Source organism: Homo sapiens, chromosome 21 (genome assembly GCF_000001405.40).
Source record: "Homo sapiens chromosome 21, GRCh38.p14 Primary Assembly".
NCBI classification, from domain to species: Eukaryota; Metazoa; Chordata; class Mammalia; order Primates; family Hominidae; genus Homo; species Homo sapiens.
Genome location: NC_000021.9, coordinates 40562256 through 40589141, shown reverse-complemented (window position 1 = coordinate 40589141; position 26886 = coordinate 40562256). Strand labels below are relative to the sequence as shown.

Sequence of the window (26886 nt, the reverse complement as noted above, 5' to 3'; positions counted from 1 at the left end):
AGAAAAAAGTGACTTGTTGATTGCAATTTCGTTGTGAATAATAGTTATTTTCATGGTCTTTGGAAAACAAGACAGAGAAGTGGAGAGGGATATGGTAGCACGGCTGGGATTGTCACAGGAAATAACTTGCCCCAGTCTACTTTTTTTCATACACATACAGTTTGAGTTCCTAATTAATCAGTTGAAAAATCCAGCTCCTGAAAATATGGCTACAGAATACTGATCATTGATTGTGATTCATTTTGCTTCACATAAATGGTTGCATTTTCTTTTCAATGAGAATAAAGTTTTTCTTTTTCTTCCTCTGTCAACATAATTCCCTTTGTTCTTATTCAGTTTTCTTGTTAAATGTTTTTCCACATGTAGAATTTTACAAATTGAATAATACATGCAGAAAAAAAGAAAAACAACAACCTGTCTTTTTTTCTTTCGTCTAGGTCATGGGAGAATGAAAAACTAGAATCTTCATGAGCATTCCATACTAAATATTTGTATTAGATTATCATTATTTATTACTTTGCTAAACAACCATTTTTATCCATCACTTTTTATGAATCTATAGTAAAACAAAAGTAAACAGCCTCCATGCTTTCAACAAGGAGAGTCTGTTGCTCTAAAAATGTCCATTTCACCACAGTTTTTCCTCATCACCACTTGCTGAAACTTACTGCATTTGTTCATGTTTATTATAAAGACTTTTGCCATCCTGCTCGGTATTTAAGATTCATCACAAGGGTATTCCCCCTTTAGATGTTCTGACTAATGTTGATATTAACCATGTGACATTCACAAAGTAATTTTTTCCTGAATATATGACAGTATATATTAGGTTGGTGCAAAAGTAATTGTGATGTTTGCCATTACCTTTTAATGCCAAAATCCATGATTTTGAGCCAACCTAATATCAGAGGGGTAGGTAATGCAATTGTAAGTGAGTGTTCTTTGGAGTCAGGTAGATCCTGCCTCTTCTCAGAGCAGCTGAGGGGCCCGCCAAGGTCTGTGGCTGTAATCCTGAGTCATGTGGATCAGGAACGCCTTTAAGTCCATGCCTGGCAGCTGAAGGCATCTGCAGTTTAGATTCTCCTTGTACCAATTTTGCAAATCTCTGCAATATTGGAAGCCATGCACCCAGCTGAATGGAAGCAGGTGAAAACAAGGCCGCATGAAGTCATAGCACTGTGGGCAGCAGTGCACCAGTAGTAGCTCTTTGTGCTCAAGAATCAAATGATGACTGTTGGCAGGGATTAAAACTGGGGCTGACTGAGTGCTGGGCTTTGATCTTGCCAAATCCACTGAGACAGCTGAAATTTCATGAAAAGGTGACAAGGATTTCCTAAACCAAATGCAAATTGATGTTTAACTTTCAACTCCAGCTCACACCCAAAGGCTTTGCAAGTGCTTGAAAAAAGAATATCTGGCTTGTACATCAGAAAATGACCTTTACAATATATTTTATTTGGGCTAAAACTTGTGCTGCAGCATCACTGAAAAAAATTACTCTTACTATTTAAATGATTATACTTTTCATAAAATTTCAATGACAGAGATGCTAAGTAGAGATGATGTTTATTGAAAGGCATTCTTAAAATTTGAGAAGGATTTATCAAATGATAAACAACATTTTGTGATAAAGACTATGCATTCCCACTTATTTGGTAATGCAGCCAGTTACGGGGTACACACCATTTTTTTCTTTAACTGATGTGATAAAAAATTGTATAAAACTTAATAAACATTTTCCAACATGAATGGATGCTGTAATTAACCTATACTCACTAAAATCAGTGTGTGGATTAGCATTGTATTGGGAAAAATATGTGATTATGTGAGTTATAACCCAGATTTTGTCATGAAAATTAGATGCTTAAAGCTAAGACATGACCCTAGTGTTCTCATCAGAAATACGGGTAGATACAAATTAGATGATTTTGAGGTAATTTTCAGTTAAAAGTCTCTGATACATATCCTTTTTCATATCCTCTCCAATGGACCCTTGTTTCATTGATGAGATTATTACACGTATTAATTCGCTCCCAAAGCCTTTTTTGTATGTTTGTTGATCACAAGATTATTTTAAGTATAATAATTTTACTAGATTTAAAAATTATTTTTGAAAAGGTTGTGTCCTCTAATGTACTCCTTGAATTACTCATCTGCTCTTCTTTATTTTTGTATCTGGAATTAGTGCCTTGTTTTCCTTTTTAGATGCTGTGTGATGTGGTTACTGCCCCAAATGTTCATATTTGCTACCACTTAGAGTCCAGCCTTCTTCTGTTGTCTAATTATATGCTATTAAGACTGTCATATTGTGTTGTTAGGTACAGAAATTTGCTTTAGAAACAAACTGAGGATTGCGTAAGTATTGACATGGCAGGGTAGTGTTCCATGTGTTTCTTGGGCAAGTTGGGTTTCAAGCATGGATCTTTGTCCACACCTCTCGCACCTTCTTGGAAATATATACAGCAATGTCACCAGAAATATCTTGCACCTTAAGGCTGTCTGTCACTGTCAGCATCACTTGGAAGCTGGTCAGGAATGCAAAATCTCAGGCTCTACCCAGATCTCCTGAATCGGAATTGAACTTTAACAAATCCTCTAGTGATTATTATGCAAATGAAGTTTGAGGAGCGCTGGGCTGAAACATCCTTCTCCTTCATAACAGCTTTGGGTGGGGTGCTTCTGAACACTCTTTCCCAAGATGCAGTGTTGTCATTTTCCTTAATCAACTCTGTCTCTGGGACACAGAACAGTCAAACAAGATTTTCTGTGTTAGTCTGCTTTTATGTTGCTGTAAAGGATTACGTGAGACTGGGTAATTTATAAAGAAATAGGTTCATTTGGCTTATGGTTCTGCAGGTTGTACAAGAAGCATGGTGCCAGCATCTGCTTTTGGTGTGGGCTTCAGGCTGCTTCTGTTCACAGTGGAAGGCAAAGGGGAGCCACTGCACAGAGATCCCATGGCAAGAACAGAAACAAAAGAGCACGGACCAGGCATGTTGGCTCATGTCTATAATCCCAGCAGTTTGGGAGGCTGAGGTGGATGGATCATTTGAGGTCAGGAGTTTGAGACCAGCCTGTCCAACATGGTGAAACCCTGTCTCTACTAAAAATACAAAAATTAGCTGGGTGTGGTGGTGGGCACCTGTAATCCCAGCTACGCAGGAGACTGAGGCAGGCGAATCGCTTGAACTTGCGAGGCAGAGGTTGCAGTGAGCTGAGATAGTGCCATTGCACTCCAGCCTGAGTGACAAGAGTGAAATTCCATCTCAAAAACAAAAACAAACAAAATGAGCACAGGGAAGGTGCCAGGCTCTTTTTAACAACCAACTCTCAGGGGCACTCTCATGGGAACTAGTAGATAAATAATTCATTCTTTACTGCAAAAACACCACCAAGCCATTCATGAGGGATCCACTCCCATGACCAAAACACCTCTCACTAGGCCCCACCTCCAACACTGGGAATCAAATTTCGACCTACAACTTGGTGAGGCCAAACTATATCCAAACCGTAACACCCTCTTATTTGGTCAGTCACTACTGCTGAGAGGTGGGTGGAATAATTCTTCATTCAGCATTAAACAAGAAAAAATAGATCCTCTCTGAAATTGCCCATGTATTTTGCTGTGCTTTAAAAAAGACTTGTAGATCTATTACCACTTGTAAACTTTTGCATATGTGTTCTTTTAAGCATTTTTCTTTTTTTTTTTTTTTTTTTTTTTTGAGACGGAGTCTTGCTCTGTCGCCCAGGCTGGAGTGCAGTGGCGGGATCTCGGCTCACTGCAAGCTCCGCCTCCCGGGTTCACGCAGCATTTTTCTTTAACACTCAATAGAGTATCTTCATGGATCTAATGAGCTCCAATATTTCCCATCTCTCCAACCCTTTTTGTGCTTGTGTTAGTCCATTTTACATTGCTGTAAAGAAATACCTGACACTGGGTAAGTTGTAAAAAAAAAAAAAAAGAAGTTGATTTGTCTCGCGGTTCTACAGGCTGCACAAGAAGCATTGCCCCAGCATCTGCTTGGCTTCTGGTGAGCCCTCAGGAAGCTTCTACTTGTGGTGAAAGGCAAGGTGACATGGCCTCCCACATGACAAGAGAGGAAGCAAGAGCGAGAGGAGGGTGGTGCCAGGCTCTTTTTAACAACCAGCTCTTGGGAGCACTCTCTCTGGAATTAATAGAGCTGAAACTCACTCATTACCGTGAAGACGGCACCAAGCCATTTATAAGGATCCACGCTTATGACCCAAACACCTCCCACTGGGCCCCACTTTCAACACTGAGGGTCACACTTCAACATGAGATTTGGAGAGGACAGACATCCAAACTGTATCAGTGTTCTTGTATCTGTGGAGCATCAGAATCACCAAGATGGATTTTTGACAATTTCAGGTTCATAGCTCCCACCTACAGCGCTTCCTGGACCGAGAGAACCCCCTCCGCAGGACCTGGTAACTGTGCAGAGCTCTTCAGGGCTTCCAGGGAGCTGCCATGTTTGGGCCCTGCTGACCTGACTTTGCAGAGTCCCTGCTGCTTCTTTGAGGGAGGGAGGTGTGATGAGAACAGTGATGTTGATGAATGTAAAAGCACTTCGCAGACTGCAGCTCTCCGCACATCGCCATGGGCACCCTCTGCTTTCATTCTTCCATTCTGCGATTCTTCCTGATTTCTATGCTTTTTCTAGCACCTCACTGCCCTGCTGCCGACGCTTCTGAGATGAAAGTTGATCTCAATCCTTGTCATTCTGATAACACTCCAGCTTCACATCTTGAGATAATTCCAAGGTTCCTTTTATCTGACTTGCAGATGGATTTGCAAAATATATGTAATTCATTTATCACCTAGGCTTGACCTGGTTACTTCTACCATGAGGTAACTAGGGCTCTGAAACTGGAGTTACTGGTGCTTCAGGTGAGCTATGCCTGTGCCCCTGTGTAACACCAAGGAGCGGAACCTGACCCCAACAGGCAAGTTCATGGGAGGAATATCAGCTTCTCTGTGCTTCTTTTCTTATGGATTTTTCCATGGCACATATGGGAAGTGGGGATCAAATGAGGTCTTTTCTGACTGATACAGAATTGTTTTCCCCTACAGGTTTTTGGGGGCATAGTTCCAAGCACACTGGCAATTTTGCCTCATTCCTTAATGCAGAGGTATCATGCTTTTCAAAATACAGAAAAACGCCACTGAATTTTACTCACTTTGATCCTTTACTATCTGGGCTTTTTTTTTTTTTTAATAGACTTTATTTTTTAAAGTAGGTTTCATTTCACAGCAAAACCGAGTGGAAGGTACAGAGGTTTCCTGTACACCCCTGATCCCACACATGCACAGCCTCCCTTGTTATCAGCATCCCCCGCAAGAGTGGTACATTTGTTATCAATGAACCTGCCTTGAAAGATCATTATTACCCAGTGGACATAGTGTATATTAAGGTTCACTCTGGGTGTTTATTAGTTTCCTTGAATATTTGAAAGACTCAAGGAATTTCCTTCTGAACCAGTTTTCCAGCCAAAAGGAAACTGGCATTTTTTAAAAACTAGGACATTTTCTCTCCCTTTATCCTCTTCTCTTTTTTCCTTCCCACTCCCCTGGTAGGTCTGAGGTCCCTTAAAGTTGAGGTGAGGGTGGGAAGAGACAGGTGGGGACAGCAGAGTCAGGTGTGGTGGAAGAAGGGAGGGCAGAGGACCAGCTCGTGTTCCATGTACCAGGCCGAGAAGCATATTCGTGTCTGTGGGTTCGTTTGTGGGTTATAGTTCCGAAAGTTGATATACCACAAATACAACTCTCTGGAAATTGAACAGCCAGATACGAAATCAATGGAAATCAAACCCAGTCTGGAATTGTTAATATAATCTGTCCTCAACCCAGAAAAAGCAGTGAGTGCTTCAGATGGTACAATGTGTACTGGCCCCTGGTAACCTTTGCGTTGCTGGCTGTGCCCAGGATGTTTATTTCTTTTGCCTTACATTTATAAAATGGATCTCTTGGAAACTTCAGTACTGGTTTTCTAAACATCCTTTTGTGATTCTACTTTGTACTTGCCTGAATTCTGAAGTGATCTTTCTTCAATAGTTCATTCATAGTCAGTCATCCTTGATCTATATATATTTTTTTACTGATTCCTAAAATTTTTTGGTAAGTTTAATTCATCTCTCATCTAGTAATGACTTTAATAGTCTGTTGCAAATATCGGATTGCTTTTCCATTGCTCAAATATCAGTGTGCAGTACATATAAAGGCAATTCCTTTGTTTACCAAAGGACAGTTCCCACTAGGTTAAATCTATTGCTCCATCTGGCCCAGGGGATGGGTTCTGTTCACTTAGTGTTTCCAAATATAGGGCACTGTGTTCTAGACACTCTTGCTTCTAGTAAGGCAATGTTCAAAATATCATCTCAACTTCTAGTAAGTACTTATTAGTAAAACGCAGATGCTCTCTAACCAGAGCTCATTTTCTCCAGGTCTTATCTTTATGTACATAGTATATGTACAGAATCCCAGTGACTGCAAATTCCTGGAATATGTATTATGTGTGTTTATGTCTCTAATTTGCTATCTCTCCTTGTATGCTTAATGTTGAACTTTAAAACCACTTTTTGGGAATTGTTACAAAAGCTATGTTTACTACATACTATGTGTATATATTTATAATACATAACCTAAGAATGTGTTGCTCTTGATCCTTTCGGCTGGGACTGTTAGTTATCTTGGTCTCTGAATCTGGTTTCTGTGTATGTGAGTATGTGTTTATTTGTATATTTTGTCCCATTTTTGGACTCACAGAAAATTAAAAACCTGCAAACCGAAACTCACCGTGAAAATATTTGATATAGGTGTTTTTGGATGCATTTTAAAAATAATAAGTATTCTCATTATTTAAACACTATTGTAACACTTCAGCAAGATGCAGATTTAGGCCTGAAATCAACCACTGGAATATATGAAGAAGAACTGATTTATGGATGTTACTTTATAGAGTTTTATTATACACAGTCCCCAGGACTATATAGCCAATCCCAGTAGGGCTTAATCAGGTACCGTTAAATACTGGGCTTTAGGACCATAATCCTAAACTGCAGAATGACATTTATCTAAAGTAATTACCTTGTGACTCAACCACATTTCACTAGTATTTGCTAATCTCCCTAGCATATGGGATCTGGGAATTAAAAATAAGCAGATCAAATAAATTACATTTTATGGTATCCTTAGAGGATACAATTTGACTTTGGAATTGAAAATATGTTTGATTGCGTTACTTTGTTAATTTTTTTTACAAGGAAAAATTAAAAGAAAGAAATTCTTCTATATGAAAATGTTACTGTATAGCTTTAAAGGCAGTAAGAATAAACTCGTAGCCATGAATTACCAAACTCAATGCCTTTTTGTCTGTTTCCAGCTAACACCTGTGTCCCCTGGAAGGCTTGGGTAGCAAATGTGCCCACCTAACAGTGGGAAAAATAGCTTCTGCTGGGCTGGCAAAAGCAGAAAGTCGTATTTTGGAAAGAGTGAAGAAAAATGTCAATGCTGACCTCACACTTTCTCCCAGTTTCTGTCCCCATCCCCACTCCCCTCCTCTCACACCTGGGAGGAAGTGAGAAAGTTGCTACAGTTTAGGATTATGAACTTTGGAATAAGACAAACCTGGGTTTGAAACCTGGCTTGCCCACTAACTGGCTAAGCAAACCTGGCTCTGCTGTTTGACATTCCTGAGCCCCTATTTCTTCGCCTGTAAAACAGGGATGAGAGTGTATACCTCACCAGTTTCAGAGATAAGATTTATAAAAGGTCCTAGGTGAACACTTCTGGCTCAGAGATTGACACAAAGTGCCATAAACAGCTGCTCAGCCCATGGAACTAGCAAAAGGTGGTCTCAGTCCTGAGGGTGGGGACTAAAACTAGGTTTCCCGCCACCTCCTTGAGGCTGCAGCGCATTCCCCAGCTTCTGCCAGAGGACCACATATGCTTCTTCGTTTAAAGGATTCTCTTACGATTTAAAAGGACCTGCTTTATCCAGAGTCCTGTCTTCTTTTTCATTCCCATTGATCATTTGTGTTTTGCTGAGATGTTTTTCTATACTATATTATTCGTCTTTTTAAAAACAAAACACAGCTTTCATTTTCAATTCCTTGTTGTTTTGTATTTTATCATCTTTCTTCGAAGTCCTTTCAGTTTACTGCATTCTTCTCGCTTCTTAAATTGAATATTGAGCTAATTTGTTTCCAGTCTTTCTTTTTCAAAAAAGAAATGCATTTAAACCTATACACTTCTTTCTAATAAACACCATAGCTATGCTCCACAAGATACTTTTCAAAATCTGTTATTGTTTTTCTTTAGTTAGTCATGTAGGTACATATATTTTTCCTTTGGCTTCTGGTACATTGGGTGTTTTCCACTTACTGCATTTGGTCTTGGATTGTCTTCCAGCCCACCCGCCTTTCCTGTCCCCATTAGATGATTCTCTATTTCCTTTATTTCTTCTACTGGTGTGGAAGTTTATATAAGTTCTATTGATTTTTTTCTACTTTCCATGCTCTTTTAATTACAATTTTAAAATCTACCTTCTTTTTAACGTTCTCAGTAGTCTGTTTTGTTTTTTTTTGAGACAGAGTCTCCCTCTGTCACCCAAGCTATAGCTGTAGTGCAGTGGCACCATCTTGGCACACTGCAACCTCTGCCTCTTGAGTTCAAGCAATTCCCCTGCCTCAGCCTCCCAAGTAGCTGGGATTATGGGCGCCCGCCACCACGCCTGGCTAATTTTTGTATTTTTAGTAGAGACGGGGTTTCACCATGTTGGCCAGGCTGGTCTTCAACTCATGACCTCAGGTGATCCACCCACCTCGGCCTCCCAAAGTGCTGGGACTACAGACGTGAGCCACCCCGACCAGGCCTCAGTAGTCTTTAAAAGTTAATTTAATGTAGTCCCAGCTACTCGAGAGGCTGAGGCAGGAGAATGGCTTGAACTCGGGAGGCAGAGCTTGCAGTGAGCCGAGATCGCGCCACTGCACTCCAGCTTGGGCAACAGAGCGAGACTCTGTCTCAGGAAAAAAAAAAAAAAAATTAAACATGGTAAAGTTGGATTCTCCAAGGTAGATCTAGAATCTGTTATTCACCATTGGTTCTGGTGGATGATCTGAAGTGAAGATCCGTGTAGCACGGACCCTAGCCAATCAGGAGAGAGGCCTGACCATCAGCTGAGTACCCTGGGCCACCACGTGGCTCACAATGGCTGAATGCCCACCTTCTACGTGACATCCCACATGTGAGTGTGACACCCTCTTAGTACCAAAGAAAAATCTTCACTTTTTTTTGTGGTGAAGGTCTGATAGTAGTACATTCTTTTATTCTTATATCTGAAAACATCTTTGTTTTGCTTAATTTTTGACTAATAACATAAATGGAGATGGAATCCTATATTGACATTTATTTTCCTTCAGAATTTTTGTAATGATTTTCTAGCGACGATCTTAACTTTGTCAGTAATCTTTTTCTCTCTGATAGGTTGGAATATATTTCTCTGGCTCTGTAATAGTCTGTAGTTTCATATAGGCAAGACATGGGTTTCTTTCCTGCTTGGCTTGTAATCTTTCTAGAATCCAAGGATTCTGGCTGTTTGTCAGTTCTAGAATCTCCTTCAGATTTTAGCTCTTCAAATATTGTCTCTTCTTTCGTCTTCTTCCAGGTCTCCTATTAAAGAGACATTGGAATTTATCATTCTTTTCTCTATATCTCCTAACTTTTCTTTCATATTGCCTACCTCTACCCCTCTGTGTTATGCTTTGGGTGATTTCATCAAATCAGCTTTTTTTCCTCACTGCTTCTTTTTCTTCTGTGTCTACTCTGAAGTTTTATTGAGGTTTTTTTTTGGATCTGCTTTCAGAATCCAAATTAATTTATTATAATTTAATTATGTACCTCTGAACTTCATATGTATTGTTGCTTTCAGATGATCCAAAAAAACACAGACCCATCAGGTCTTTTGCTTGCTTTCTGTGGTGGGCTGTGGTCTGTGTGAGAATTGTTCCCCTTTGGTTATGTTGATTTCCTTTGATCCCTATAGCCCATTCCCTCTACCTCCCTCTGTCGTTACAAATGTGCTAATGTGCATCTTTCTGTGTTTTGCACAATGCATATTGTTGTTTTGTTTGCATGTGGGTTTCAATTTACATCATCAAGTTGTATTATACATCTTTCATCTTCATCCACACTATGTTTCTGGAACTCTTCCATGTCACTTGAAAATTAAATTCCTGACACCTAACTGCTGCACTGTACTCTATGGTCTCTATACTGCACATTTTATGTATCCCCATTCCCAGGGATGGATTCTAAAACTGACCAACAACCCCATCATACATCTTGCTGTGTCCATAATTTATTCCTTCCTATGGGTTCTTGTTCTCGCTGACTTCAGGAGTGAAGCCGCAGACCCTCACAGTGAGTGTTACAGCTCATAAAGGTAGTGTGGACCCAAAAAGTGAGTGGCAGCAAGATTTATTGTGAAGAGCAAAAGAACAAAGGTACCACAGTGCAAAAGGGGTCCCACGCTGGGTGCTGCTGCTGGCTCCAGTGGCCAGCTTTTATTCTCTTATTTGGCCCTGCCCACATCCTGCTGATTGGTCCATTTTACAGAGCACTGATTGGTCCATTTTACAGAGTGCTGATTGGTCCGTTTTACAGAGTGCTGATTGGTCTGTTTTACAGAGTGCTGATTGGTGCGTTTTTACAGAGTGCTGACTGGTGCATTTACAATCCTTTAGCTAGACACAGAGCGCTGATTGGTGCATTTACAATCCTTTAGCTAGATGCAAAAGTTCTCCAAGTCCCCACCCTACCCAGAAGCCCAACTGACTTCACCTCCTATTGCTACAGTGAACATCCTTGAACTTGTCCCTTTCTGAAGGTGTGTAAGAGTGTCTCTGGGCTATTCACAGAAGGGTTTAACTAGATACTGCCGGATACCTCTAGGCTGTGACGGTGTTAGCCTGCACTCTATTTTTCTCAGTGCATGAGGGTTCTTCTGTTCCTATATACTCACCAATCCTTGCAAATACCTGGTTTTCTAATGTAATGCCCAACTTTGTTTTTACTAACTCTGTTTTTAGGCTTGTTTCCACCTGAATTGATTCTCCCTTAGCTAAGAGAGCCAGATAGACTCCATCTTGGCTCTTTGACTGGCAGCCCCTTCCTCAAGGACTTAACTTGTGCAAGCTGACTCCCAGCACATCCAAGAATGCAATTAACTGATAAGATACTGTGGCGAGCTGTATCCGCAGTTCCCAGGATTTCGTCTGATTGATAACGCCCAAAGCCCCGAGTCTATCACCTTGTAGTAGTCTTAAAGCCCTTGCACCTGGAACTGTTTACTTTCCTGTAATCATTTATCCTTTTAACTTTTTGCCTACTTAACTTCTGTAAAATTGTTCTAACTAGACCCCCCTCCCCTTTCTAAACCAAAGTATAAAAGAAAATCTACCCCCTTCTTCAGGGCCGAGAGAATTTTGAGCGTTAGCCGTCTCTCGTCGCCGGCTAATAAAGGACTCTTAATTCATCCCAAAGTGTGGCGTTTTCTCTGACTTGCCTGGATACAACATAATGGAGGCCCCAGCAAGATATTAACGCCACTGGGCGAGAGCCAGTCTCGCTCCGGGCTCCCCCGGAAGGACAGCCGGCTCGGAGGGGGGCGCCACCTGAGGAAACAATTTTCAGGTCCCCAAAGAGTGACCGTCTTCCGGAGGAGAGCGGATCGACTACCGTGTCAGTGCCCTAAAATTCAACATCTGAGTCCTCAGCTTCTCACCCCGGGGTCAGGTAGGTCAGATTTGACTTTGTTCTGGTTCTGGTAAGAGGGAAGCGGCCTGGTCGCCGGCTAATAAAGGACTCTTTTTTTTTTTTTTTTAATAAAGCTTTTGAGTAAATAATTTTATATTTTCAAATTTCTCCATAATAAGGGATGGTGAATGAATATATAATACATAAATAAATGAATATTCATTTATATATCATTACATATATTTTGTTCATAATATATGAATGAATGGATGAATTAATTTATAAATTTATGATATATAAATTCACATAGAATTTTCACTAAGATACCCTCTCGTGCCCTTTCCAATTTGCATCTTATTTTTTTTTTTATTTTATTGTTATTATACTTTTAGGGTACATGTGCATGACGTGCATGTTTGTTACATATGTATACTCGTCTCAAAGTGTGGCGTTTTCTCTAACTCGCCTGGGTGCAACGCTAATTGTTGATAGATGCAAAGGTATAAAAAGATATTTCGTGATCTTAGCCCTTTTTATGATTATTAGTTAATTCTAGGAGTTTTGAAATAATTTATTTGAACCTTACGTAAAAATTGCGCATTTATATCTTTTCATTGTGCTCCTATGGGGCTTCCTGTCTTCTTCTGTTGGATTTTTCAGGAGTTCTATATATATATTATAAGTATTAAATTTTGTTGATTTTAGATGTTGCAGGTGTCTTCTCCCATTCTGCCACTATCTTAACTTGTCTCTGTTCTCCTGTGTTAAACAGAAACTCATGGTTTCTCTTAAATGATTTTTTGAATTATAATTTATATACAATAAAAGGCACTGATCATTTTTTAGCTTAATATGTTTTGTCATTGGAAGACACCCAAGTTGACACCACCTAAAACAAGATGTAGAACATTCAGTTAACTGTCCCCAAAGAAGATTCCCTTGCTCCCATAATTATCAGTGTCCCAGCCTGCACCCAACCCAGATGCAATCCTTTCTGATTTGAACACAAATTAGTTTTACCTGTTATGTAAATAGAAGCAAGTGGTATGTATTCTTAGGTATCTGATTTCTTCTTTTAAATTATAATACTTCTGAAATTCACACATGTTGTTGCTGATTTCAGAACTTTGTTTCTTTTCTAAACATTTTTCCTATTCTGTTGCCAGACTTTTGGGCTGTTTCCAGGGATTGACTAATAGGAGAAAGGCTGGTATGAATATTTTTGTAGAAGCCTTTTTGTGAACATATGTTAGGATTTCTCTTGGGGAAATACTAAGTGGGATGGCATGTTTAACTTTATAAAACTTCTAAAAGGTACCACTTAAACTCTTGCCAGAAATGTATGATAGTTCTTGTTGCTCCATATTCTCTCCAACTTTTCATCCCAACAGTATTTTAAATTTTAACCAATATAGTGTGTATGAGATGGTATTGTATTATTGTTTAAATTTGTCTTTATCTAATTACTAATGATGCTGTTACATGTGCTCATTGGACGTGATATGTCTTCTTCTGGGAAGTGACAATTCAGGTCATTTGCCTAATTTTTCTTGGGTTGCCTTCTTACTACTGAGTTGCAAGAGTTTTTTTTTTTAATATATTTTGGGTATGAATCTTTTGTCAAGTATAATATTTTGTTTTTAATTTGTAGCCTGCCTACCTATTTATTAGTGATGCCTTTCAATTAGCAAATTTAAAAAATTGATGAAGCCTAATTCTTTTATTTTTCTCTAGTTAATTTTAACATAAGGAGTTGAGTCGGACTCAAGGTTTATTTCCCTCCATCTATTTATCTGATTCTTACAATATTATTTATGAAACAGGCTTTCATCCCCTGTCACCTAATTGGCTTTGCACCTTGATTTTTAAAAAGAGCCGTATATGTGTAGATCTCTATTCTATTCCCGTAATCTAATTGTCTGTCTTATGCCAAAACTACACTGTCTTAATTATATATGTTTCATTCGCGTCCGTGTGAAGAGATCACCAAACAGGCTTTGTGTGAGCAATAAAGCTTTTTAATCACCTGGGTGCAGGTGGGCTGAGTCCAAAAAGAGTCAGCGAACAGAGATGGGGTGGGACTGTTTTATAAGATTTGGGTAGGTAAAGGAAAATTACAGTCAAAGGGGGGTTGTTCTCTGGAGGGCCGGAGTGGGGGTCACAGGGTGCTCAGTGGGGGAGCTTTTTGAGCCAGGATGAGCCAGGAGAAGGAATTTCACAAGGTAATGTCATCAGTTAAGGCAAGGACTGGCCATTTTCACTTCTTTTGTGGTGGAATGTCATCAGTTAAGGCAGGAACAGGCCATTTTCACTTTTGTGATTCTTCAGTAACTTCAGGACATCTGAGTGTGTATGTGAAGGTCACAGGGGATGCGATGGCTTAGCTTGGGCTCAGAGGCCTGACAATATGGTTGTTCTAGAAATCAAATTGTATAATTGTTTTGAGATGGTAGTGATTACTAATGTTTTATTGCAGTCTTAAAAATCAGGTACCTTAGCCAGGTGCAGGGGCGGGCACCTGTAATCCCAGCTACTTGGGAGGCTGAGGCAGGAGAATCCCTTGAACCCAGGAAGTGGAGGTTGCAGTGAGCCAAGACCCTGCCATTGCACCCAGCCTAGGCGACAGAGCAAGTCTCCGTCTCAAAAAAAAAAAAAAAAAAAATCAGGCACCTTATGTGATTCTCTTTTTTGACATTGTTTGGCTTTTGAAATGTATTATCTTGCCCTACTGCACTACCTAAGACTTCTTGAACAATGTTGAATATTGATTAGAAGTGACTAAAAGTGATGAGTGAATACCTTTGCCTTGTTCCTAACCCTAAGGGGAATGTTTCCAATAATTCAGTGTTAGATATCATGTTATTTGTATATCTTCTGTAAATGCCCTTTATCAGATTGTGAAAGTTCTCTTTTATTCTTAGTTTTTTGAGTATTTCTCATAAAAGAAGCTGAATGTTGTCAAATGCTTTTTCTACATGTATTGAGATAGTTATATAATTTTTCTTCTTTAATCTGTTAATGAAATGAATTATTTTGACTGATTTTTAATGTTAAGCCAATTTTGTATTAGAAAATAAACTTGACATGGTCATGACCTGTTATTCTTTTTAAGTTTATAGCATCCAATTGCTAATATTTTAATAGATCTTTGTGTATTGGACCATAAGGGATATTTTTCTTTTTTCTTAAACTTATAATGTTTTTTGTAGGTTTAATATCTGGGTCGTGCAGTCTCAGAAAGTCATTTGGGAAGTGTTCCCTCCTCCTCTATTAAAAAAAAAATTGTGAAGGATTGGTAATTGGTATTACGCCTTCCTTAGATATTGACATCTAGTCAGGAGTTTTTTCTTTTATGTTTTTGTTTTATTTTATGGGAAGGCTTCTGATTACAAATTCCATTTCTGTAACAGGTATTAGGCTATTTAGATGTTCTATTTTTTCTTGCATCAGTTGTGATAAGATGCGTTTTTAAAGGAATCTGTTTTATATAAGTGGCTGTATCTTTAATGGCATAAAGTTGTTTATGATATTCCCTTATTTTTAATATCTGTAGAACCTGGAGAGATGCTACTACTTTTATTACTGATATAGATTCTTTTCATTTTTTCTTGACAATTTTTCTAGAAGTATACCAATTTTATTAAACTGTCTTAAACAAATTTCTCACATTGTTAATTTTCTTTTATGTGTTTTCATTTTATTTCTGCTGTTTTTATTATTTCCTTTCTTATATTTTAGTTGTTTTTCTTAGCTTATTAAAAGCTAAAACTTTTTGTTTTACAACTTATTATTTTCAATTCAAATAGGGAATTAAAGCTATGAATCTCCCTCTATGCACCACCTTCACTGCCTTTCACATTTTGATATGTTGTGTTTTCATTTTCATTCAATTCAAAATATATTTTATTTTTCCCTGTGGTTTTTCTATAGGTCATCATCTGTTTAGAAACATGTTGTTTAATTTTCAAATATTTGAGTAGTTTTAAAGCTATTTATTTTCATTTATTTCAAGTTTATTTATTTATTTATTTGAGACAGAGTCTTGCTCTGTCGCCCAGGCTGGAGTGCAGTGGCGCCATCTCAGCTCACTGCAAGCTCCACCTCCCGGGTTCACGCCATTCTCCTGCCTCAGCCTCCTGAGTAGCTGGGACTACAGTCACCCGCCACCGCGCCCGGCTAATTTTTTTGTATTTTTAGTAGAGACGGGGTTTCAATGTGTTAGCCAGGATGGTCTCGATCTCCTGACCTCATGATCTGCCCGCCTCGGCCTCTCAAAGTGCTGGGATCGATTTTAATATTATTGTTTTCAGCTATCATACTTTATATGAATTTTATCATTATGATTTGCTGGGGAATTTTTCATGTTGCAGAATGTGATTCATCTTAGCAAGTGTTTCATGTGATCTTCTCAAGAAATTGTAGTGTATAGTTGTTGAGTGGAGTATTCTATTAGAGATAATTATGTAAATTTTGTTGACAGTATTAAAATCTCCTATGTTCTTTGATTTTTGGTCTACTTGTTTTATCAGTTATAATGAGAGGCATATTAAAATCTTCCATGGTGAATGTGAGCTTTTCAAAAGCAACATTCTTCCTTTAGTGCTGTCAAGTTTTGTATCATGCATTTTGAATCTCTTTATTAGGTTCATACACATTTAAGATAATTACTTCTTCTTGATGGAGTGACTCTTAGCATTAGAATATACTCCTTTTTCTCTCTGGGTTACTATTTGTCTTGAATTGTACTCGGTCAGATATAAACATAGCCGTCGAGATTTATGATGCATAGTGGTTGGATAGTATGTCAGTTTTCAACATTTTATTTTCAAATATCTATCTCTTTATGCTCTAAGTGTTTCTTGTAAAAGTCATTTATTTGAATCTTATTTTTAATTAGTATGTAAGTGGTATTTCATTTATATTTAATGTAATTATCAATACAATTGTATTTAAGTATTTTACCAGTATTTGTTTCTCTTTCTTATTTCCTGCCTTATTTTGCATAATCCAGCAATTAACTTTTTAAATATACTTTGTGTTATTTTTTAGGAGTTTGCTAGAAATTACAGTATGTATACTTAACTATCATAGTCTAATTTTCAATTATACTAAACTTTAAAAAAATCTAAGACTATCACAATTATATAATTCTATTCTCTCATTCTTTGTATTCTTTTGTTTCACTGTATTCTATAAAACTTATAACACATTGCTACTGGTTGTGCTGAAATGCATATATATGTACACACAAACACACACACACACACACACACACACACACACCCACACACACACATGTTGAGTATCCCTTATCCCAAGTGCTTGGTACCAGAAATGTTTTAGATTTCAGATCTTTTAGGATTTGAATTTGCATTTGCATTATATACTTAGTAGTTGAACATCCCTAATGAAATGTGCAATTCTCCAATGAGGATTTCTTTGGAATGCCATGTTGGATCTCAAAAAGCTTCAGATTTTGGGCCAGGTGCAGTGGCTCACACCTGTAAACCCAGCACTTTGGGAGGCTGAGGTGGGCAGATCACCTGAGGTCAGGAGTTTGAGACCAGCCTGGCCAACATGGCAAAACCTCATCTCTACTAAAATGGGAATATTTCAGATTTTGGATATTTGGACTGGGGATGCTCAACCTTTAATATGTGCTTAATATATTATGCAACATGTATGTCTGTATACAAACAAACACACATGTATATTAAATATAATAAGTAGGTCCTTTATTTTTACCTATATGTTATACTACCTATGTTTTCATTCTTTCCTGCAGATTTGAGCTTCTATCATGTATGATATTCTTTCAGCCTGCATTTCTTTAAGCATTTCTTGGAGCACAGGTTTTTTGGCTAAAAAAATCTCTGAGTTCTTCTCTAGCTGAAAATGTCTTTACTTAGCTTTCATTTTCTTAAACTGATACATATTAGATGTCCATATCTTCAGGATACATGTGATTTTTTGAAGCATTCATATCAAGTGTAAAGATCAAATCAAGGTAATTGAGATATCTATCACCTTGAATATTCATATTTTATTTATGAGAAGAATATTTGAATTGCTCTCTTCTATAGCTTTTATTTTTTTATTTATACTTTGACTAAATGTAGAATTCAATGTAGAATTCTATGTTGACAGTTTTTTTTCAGCATTTTGAATTTTTTTTCCATTGTGAGGAACTCATCCATCATTCTTTTCATACTTCCCCTAAATATAACATGGGCTATTTTTTCTTGCTACTTTTAAGATTTCTTTTCAATTTTTTTTTCTTTTAAGGTTCACCTCTGATGTACCTAGGTGTGATTTTGAAATAACTTTTTAAAATCTTATGTTGTGGTTTGCTAATCTTCTTGGGTATGTACCTTGCTGTATTTCCTTAACTTAAAAAATATTGGCTATTGTCTCTTAAAATATTTTTTCTCCTGTATCTCTCTTCTTCTTCTGGGATTCCAATTGTTTATATTGATTGATATTTTTACACAGGTCTTGGATGCTTTGTTTTATTTTTTTCATGTTTAATTTCTTTGTGTTTTATTTTAGATATTGTCTATTGGCCTGCCTTTGATTCTTTTCTCTTCTATGTCCAGTCTGCTATTAAGCCCATCAAATGAATTCTTCCTACCTAGTATCATACAGTTACGTCCTGATAGTTCCATCTGAGTTTTGCTTTCACCGTTTGCTTCCCATGCTGTAGTTCTTCACCTGTTCACACGTGTCAGTATTTTCCTCTAGAGCCTTCATCGCAGCTACAAAGTTCCTGAGTGATAAATCAAACATCTGGGCCATTTCCATATTTGTTTCTGTTAATGAGTTATCTTTTAAACATGGGCCTTGTTTTGTTGTTTCTTTGTGTGTCTTGTGACTTTCTGTTTTATGCTAAACATTGTGTGCAGATTGAAGTAAGGAATGTTTACCTTGCCCTTGCAGGAAGGACATGCTCCTTCTGTCCTTCTGTCGGGCTGGTGATGTGGGGCTGAGTCAATCTGACATGTGGCTGGGCTGTGCTGGGCTCTGTTGCAGAGTTAGGATCCTGAGCTAGATTCTCTTTACCTTGGGTTCACATGGTGTGAAGGTGGGGTCAGCACTTTGCCTTCAGAAGGGCTTGGGATCTGAGCACCAGCCAGACTCTTTGAATCTTTGTGCTTTACTGACCAGTAACCAGCTTTCCAAACTGTGGGAGATCTCTTTCTGCTTTACAGCTTGCCTGCCAGCTCTTTGAGTTTCTGGGGCATTCTCTTTGCTCTCTAGACCTGTTCTTGACTTTCTGTACCTGGGGAGATCTCTTTTTGCATCAATGGACTGCCCTCAGCCTTTGAAGGCCACTGCAGGGTACTTGGGGAATGCAGAGATCCACCTCAGTTCTCCTGCACTCATCCCAGCTTTTGGCATTCATTTTGTTCACTACATTTGTCCTTGCTTCCTTACGTTCATACCACAAATTTTTTTTTCTGCTGTTTGCTAATTCTATGTTCTATATATTATTTTTATATTTTAAATTTATATTTTGCTCTCTTGACATCTGAAATCCAGTGTGAACACACAAAAAATAAGTAGGAAAAACTCCAAGTTTCATAAACCTTACCTAAAGAAGTCATTTCTAATTTATTCATAATTGAAGCTCCTGAAAGGTCTGATACAGCTCTGGTACAAGGGAGGTATGTCAGTCAGGGTCCACCACAGGCACAGAACCAGTAAGTTATATAGGGGACAGATAGAAATCTGAAGAGGAAGCGCTTGAAGTGTTTTTAGGAATTGGCAATTGCTGTAGCAACTATGGGGCGGGGCTGAGAGTGTCTGAAATCCGTAGGGCAGGCTGTCAGAAAGGGCTGGCTAGAACTCCCAGGCAGGAGCTGATGCCGCAGTTCACAGGAGCAATTTTCTTCTTTCTCAGGGAAGCTTCAGTTTTCCTCTTAAATCTTTTCGACTGATTGAATGAGGGCCACGTAAACGATCAAAGACAATCTCCTTTACTTAAAGTAAATTGATTACAGCTGTTAACCACACCTACACAATAACCTTCATAGCAACACCTAGATAAGGGTTTCATCAAATAACTGGAAACTATAGCCTGACCCAGTTGATACATAAAACTGTTTATCACAAGAGTAAGGGTCTATTCCACAGTGTGGCACAGTATGTGTTAAAGAATAAACTGTAAGGAAGAAAATAAATGGAAGCAAGAAAATGAAAGGGCTGTGAATCCTGACATCATCCAACAGCAAGGCACCCTGGGGCCAGCTCTCCTGCACAGTGGGTAGGTCTGTGTCCAGTTGAGGGACCCTCCTGCACCCAGTGACTCTCCCTTCTTGTAAGCCCCAAAGAAATGCTACTAGGCAGGGGGATAAACAGCCTATCTGGGATTAGGCATCAGCTGTTACTGGAGTTGTCTGGGACAGCCAGCTGCCCAGCACCTGGAGATGCTGAGGCCCATGGGAATATGTGGGCCCTGCTGCCAAGGGAAGAGGCCTCCTGCTACAGCCCTCGTGGTAACAGAAAGGAGGACCCCCTTCTTCCAGTTGGCTCATTGTCTAGCCTGCCCTGAGTGAGCTCCTGGGGCCTCTCTCACATCATTCTGCCCACTGCACAAAATTGTCTGCTTATAGGGCAGACATTAAAATGCTGGTATTTTATTCTCAAAGTGTAAGATTATTATTTATTTTTATTTTGCCTTTCTACCCATCTGTATTTACTAAAACTTTTACTATGTGACTATATTAATTCTATAATAAAAATCAATATAACTTCCAGCATTTTAAATAAAAATGGAGACAAGTTTATATTCCCCGAGGAAGAAAATATCATTTTAATATTTTGTATTTTCCATAAGTCTCCACATATAAATACCTTAAGCATCTCCTTGAATGTACAGCCTGGAGTGTTTCTGTGCCTGCAGTGGTCTGTGGGAAGGACAAAAAACACCCTAAGACCTGGGAGAACTCCTTTTTGGAGGCAATGGGGTAGCTTGTATAATCAGAATATTGGAAATGATTAATCCAAATTCATTGTCTTTTTTCAACTAGACCAGCAATCTTAAAGAAAAAAAATATATATATTTGAACCATACTAACACACTGTGCTTTAATAAGGATAGACAAGTAACTTTGCTAATATGCTCTCTTTCTCCTTGCTTCTTGGGAAACTGTCAGAATGGTATAAAATTTAGATAAGATGTTGTGACTTAGAAAAGAATTTGATACAGGAAGAAGGGGGTGGTACACATGCATTCCCCATTCATTGCTAAATGCTTCAATCAAACATAGTTTACGTATCAGAAATGGAAAGAAGAAGAGACAGGAAAACATACTGATTATCTACACTATCAAGAACACTAGAGGCGGAGGTTGCAGTGAGCGGAGATCGCGCCACTGCACTCCTGCCTGGGCAATAGAATGAGAGTCAGTCTCAAAAAAAAAACCAAACAAAAAAACACTAGATCAAGAGTGGTAGTTTTGTAGAGAATAAATTCTTATAGAAAGGAACAAAATATCCTAAAGACTGAATTTTAATGTTTTTGAAACTAGTGTTTCTGATAATTTTCAAATCCATGCCATTTAACGAGGAATAGGCAGAGTGCTTATGTTATGCCTGATGCTAATCTAAGTTTGGGAATGCTAACACATTAGCAAACAAAACATCCCAGCCCTTGACCTTGTGGAGCTGGCATTCCCGTGAGGGGAGACAGATGTTGGGCCTGATGAGTAAGTCCATTGTAGAATATGTTCAGAGTGATAAGTAGGGGGAATGAGATGAGGAGGGGCATTTGGGGCGTATGGATAATTATAGAGACAGATGTTTGTCTGTGTTCCTTGAAGTGGGGCTTCTTTGGTTTAGTGCATTTACTAGTGGATAACTAATAAAAAACGGCTGCAGTCCCTTGAGCCTTATTTCACTTGGATGTCCATTGTCTTCTAGAGCAAATTGTTATTATTTGGTGTGGAGAGGAGATGCGGAAACGCAGAGCTCTGGCTGTGTCCTGAGCACTAAACCAGGCACTTTCATTTCCATTTCCTTCGTCTTAGCAAGGAAGACAAGGAGGCATTAAGCAGCTAGCTACCTTGCACAAAGGCCGTTCAATTAATGGGTGGTGGAAGACCGGGAGGCCCCAAAGCCGGGGCCAACTATTTGCTAGGCACAGTAAGTTCAGTGTCTGAAACCAGGATACGTTTTGGAGCCCATGACAATTGTTTTAATTTCTTTTAAAATCAGAAGGAAAAACATATGTAATCCAGCCTGATTGTATTTGTCTTTATACTTACAGAGTCATAAAATGTAACACTGATTTTTGGGGAGGGAGGACCCATGAGCATCTTAACATGGCCCTGCTTATGTGTCTTTAATAATTCTGTTGCCTACACCCCTTCTGCTTGTTGTTTCTTGGCATTTCTCCTTCGCACTGAAAGGATGCTTGTGCTTACGGACTTGGGTCATCTTCAACCTGTGTCCATCCCCACTTTCCTGTGTCTCACAGAGGGCCAATGAAGCCAAGGCTGTTGTCAGCAAGTATGATGCTCAGCATTTGGTAGGGTGCAACACATATTTGTTCAATGAGTGAATGAATGAGCAAATACATGAATACATGAGTGGAGGAACCTGGCAATAGCAGTAGTGGTGGGTGGGGGGATATTTACTTCTCTTCCTAGCAGACTTTTTTTCAAAGAAATGTGGCATCAGCCCACTGAATGTTCCAGCCAATGAAATTATTTTCAAAGCATTCTGTGTCACAAAGCCCATATGGCTCTGAACTAAAGGGAGAATTAGAAATAATCTGAAACTCAGTTAAAGATAAGTTTGCTAAATCCAGTGCATGATGAATTCAAATTACTTTTGCATAATGAATAATGTGTTGGGTGGTGAGTAGCGGTGTGAAAAGCTAAATTGTGATAAACGCAAGCTTGCAAGAGTCAATGAATGTCTGGAGAGTCTTAAACTACTTAGGTGCAGTTGAAGGTCAAAAGTTCAGCAATGTCTGGCAGAGTAGATCACATGGGATTCTCTTGATTATGTTAGTAAGATTTTATGATATTACTTTCAGTGTCTTGTCTTCTCTGGATGATGGCTGGTAAGCATGTTTCAGGCCATGGCATTCTTGTTATGATGTCTCCAGAGAGACTCCCCAGCATCACTAGCCATCTAGGGTGGCCGTTTCTGAGCGTCAACAGTGCCAAAGCTTCTGCCCTGTCTCCCAAAGCACATGCTTACAGCAGGCTAAGGAGAAAACCCTGAAACATGAAATGTAGGACAATAATAATATATGTGAAAGAGGAAAAAGGATGACATCTTAATGACTGATTTAGCAGAGAGGGTTTACAGAGTTTGGCTTACGTCTAGACTTAAACCCTTTTGGTTTGAGAAGTCATGTTTTAGTTATCTTTATGTGCCGTTTTTCATGAAGCTTCTCTTGGCTGGGGTGTAAAGTTGATATAAAAGGGTACATGTTGTTGGTTCATGCGTTCATGCTGGGGGACCTGCATGTGTGGAAATGACAGGAGTGACAAGAGTCCAATTTTACAAAATAAACTGGGACTCTGAAGTTTTGGAGGCAGACATTTGTGATTCCTTCTGTGTAGTTGAAAGTGATTCACCTGGCGGTATTTTCCCTCTGTTGAAGTTGAATCCCCCTTTCCATGTGATGTTAAGGATGCATGTGGACAGGCAATATGGCCCTTCTTCAGATAAGACACTCTGGGCTGCTGGCTGCGGTTCTGGGACATCTTGAAGCCCCCGAGGCACTGAGTGTGAACATGTGGGTGCTGATGATAATTCAGAAGCTATTTAGAAGGTAGGGACAGCAATGGAATTTTGTGGAAATTAATTCCAATGTAAGTGTGATATGTCACTTATCCAAGGGTGTTCCTTATGTGTGACCTATTTCTATGACATCAGTGGCATGAGGCTTCTCTGTGAACATATTAATATCTTGGCATTCTTTGGTTGAGATTAGCATCAGTCAGAAGCTGTGGATAGGCTAGAGTCAGCTCAAAAACCCCTGATCACCTACCCTGACCCCTGAGAGTTTATTACGTAGTCACAGATGGCTTCTCTGTTCTATAAGAGTAGAACTTCCTCTTCATGGTCTTCTTCGAGCTACAGTGTCTCTAATTTCCCTAAATGGCTGCTCAACTGTCAAGAGATGTAAGCCCTATTAGCCGCATTGGCCATTCAGCTATAGACACCCAGTAGCCATGGTGGGTAGCAGAGCAGGTCTGGCTGGAGAGGAGAAGCCAGTACCTCGGCTACTGGAAGGCAGCAGGCATACAAAGGCTGCACTTCTTGGCTCCTGTCTTATGTCTTTACTTTGTTGTCTTCACAACATGGCCTTAAAGTATTTTGGAAATGGCACCGTGTTGGGTCATGTGTGTCAGGGGAGCAGTATCCTCCCCTCCACCTCTGCCCATCCCACCTGGGCCTCTTCCCTTCCAATCTCCAGGTGCTCACCTTGGAGGCACAGGGAGCAACTAGGTCTGTACAGCACACCTTGCTGGCACACCAGTTCTCCTTATTGCCAAGCAGCTTCTCACCCTAATTAGGTATTAAAATAAACTTGCATTTGTTATGGAAAGAATGTGGCTTTGTGTGTTTTTAAGGCAAGACACAAAATTTTAGGAAATTTTATTTCTTGACTGGCAGAATAGGACACAGAAGGGTCTAGCCTTGGCAGGTTCCCGTTTCACGTGCTCATTCCATTTAGTCTTGAAAACAATCCCATGAGTAGAGACAGACCTAGAGAAAGGAACAAAGTGGCTCAAAGTGACCTTTTTGTAGGAGGCAGGGTTGGCAGGATCCAGGCGAGATACTTGGTGCTGTCCTCAGCCCTAAGTCCATGCCCCAAAACAGGTCAAAGGAAGGCCAGAAGTATTGATAGAGAAGTAGAGGAAGGAGGAGGGTGGTGGGAGGTCAACGCTGAGTAAATAAAGCAACACTGCCTCTTCCCTCTAGCTTCTTTGTGTGCATAGTCAGAACAATTTCTCCAAATTTACTCTGAAGATTAGTTACTGGCATCCGTGAAGAACTTGGAAGGGACAAACGTACCATTGTTTTCATTTTTGTTCCTCACAGGAAAATTCATACTCTCAAAATCATTGTTTTTTCCCCTGCAGTGGTCTGTTTTGTAGAGTTCCCTAACCACTTTGTTTCCAGTGGTAACTGTGTACTTTCCTCTGACACAAGATTTTAAGGAAAAGAAACTACCAAAGATGTTTTATGTTGATTTCTTTTTCCATATTTAGGACTGCTGACCAAGCACATTTATTGTGGTTATCATTAAATGTTTGACATTTACAAACAGCAGGGCACAGAGTACGCATCTCTCAGATGGGCGGGAAGCCTGAGAACCAAGGGCTTTCAGCCGCGTGCCTTTTGCATGGCTGGCCTTGCTCACAGCTCTGCTCTCACTCTGCCTCCCTTCTCCCCTGAAATGTGCTTTTTCATAGGAGGCTCTTTCTGTTTTGGTTTTCCTGTTTTTATGGCTCTGCTTCTAAACATATAACTATATATAAACATATAAACATATATAAACATATAAACATATATAAACATATAACTATATATACACATATAACTATATATAAACATATAAACATATATATAAACATACAAACATATATAAACATATAACTATATATAAACATATAAACATATATAAACATAACTATATACACACATATAACTATATATAAACATATAAACATATATATAAACAAACATAAACATATAACTATATATACACATATAACTATATATAAACATGTAAACATATATATAACATATAAACATATAAACATATAACTATATATAAACATATAAACATATATAAACATATAACTATAAACAAATAGATATATTTTGTTTTACAAATTTTTATTTTGTTTTATACATATATAAACAAATATATATATATATTTCAAAATATAGATAGTATTATCATTGATCTGGTGGAACTCTGAGAATTTCTGGATTGAAGTTCTCAGAGTTCCACCAGATCAATGATAATACTACCTGTATTTCAAAATATAGGTAGTATTTCTGCTGCTTCTCTATGATGTGTTAGTAGTAGATCTCTTGATCTCAGGTGACTTCAAGCTGGGAGACAAACTATCTTTGTTTAGCAAGGACAGAGAAGTTAACCAGTTGCATGACTTTCAGTAAAAAAAATGAGAGAGTCCTGGACAAACCAAGACAGTTGGTTGACCTGTGAGTGGTTTCAGTGTGCAAGAACACACTGGCAGTTTTGACATTTTGAGATGTGGTGGCTCTCCTAGATAATAAACTGTCTTCCACTTCTGTGTAAGCTTTTCTTAGGGATAACTCACCCTGCTTCAGCAAATCCGGGCGATTGTCTCTATCAGCCAAATTCTGCACATGTAGCCTCTGAATCTAAAATAAAAATTGAAATAAAAAGAAAAATATAAGATGCTTTGTTTTTGCGTCTCTCTCTCCTAGCCGTTGACTTTTAGTGCATGTCGTGCAGGCGACAGACGTATTGCTGCCCTTTCTGTCTCTGGTCCTTTTTCTAGGGCAGGATCCAAGTAGTTTTTGTGAGCATTGCAGCCAGGGATCATTTCCTCTTTCCCTTTTAGGGCCACAATAGTGACCTCCAGCAGCACTGGGTACTGAAATACAGGGCTTTGGCTTTCCCAGGCTCATACACATAGCAGAGCGTCTGGTTTAAGGTCTGTATAATTTTGTGTAATTATATTCAATTGCTCACTCAATCTCTGATCACTTTCTAATGAGCTGTTATTTTCAGAGGTAGTAGAAAAATCAGTTCAGGAAGAGATGATGATGTGAGAGAAATAAATAGCAAATGACTAGTGAGGAGAAATTACACAGTAAACATGATGCTGAGCTTTCTCTGAGTGAGTGGTGTGTCTAGGGAGGTGTATTATGAAGTACATTGCTATGAAGAACGGCCTGAGACTGGGTAATTTATAAAGAAAAGAGGTTAATTAGCTCACAGTTCCACATGGCTAGGGAGGCCCCAGGAAACTTAACAATCATGGCGGAAGGGGAGGCAGGCACATCTTACATGGCCTGAGAGAGAAGGTGAGAGAGCATGTGAGAGTCTGGGAAAAACTAACATTTATAAAACCATCAGATCTCGTGAG

At 38.9% G+C, this 26886-nt stretch overlaps 1 protein-coding gene across 3 annotated transcripts in view, besides 1 other annotated feature; it reads left to right on the top strand.

Moving 5' to 3' along the window:
- DSCAM (DS cell adhesion molecule) overlaps positions 1-26886 on the top strand; it is an 836160-nt gene that overhangs the window by 258017 nt on the left and 551257 nt on the right. The gene's annotated exons all lie outside the window — the stretch shown is intronic.
- Positions 991-1515: an enhancer, noted in NCBI's record as "NANOG hESC enhancer chr21:41959554-41960078 (GRCh37/hg19 assembly coordinates)". NCBI's record gives its function as "activates a minimal SCP1, AML or CMV promoter by ChIP-STARR-seq in naive H9 embryonic stem cells {active_cell/tissue: H9 hESC(naive)}" and the evidence as "EXISTENCE:reporter gene assay evidence [ECO:0000049][PMID:30033119]".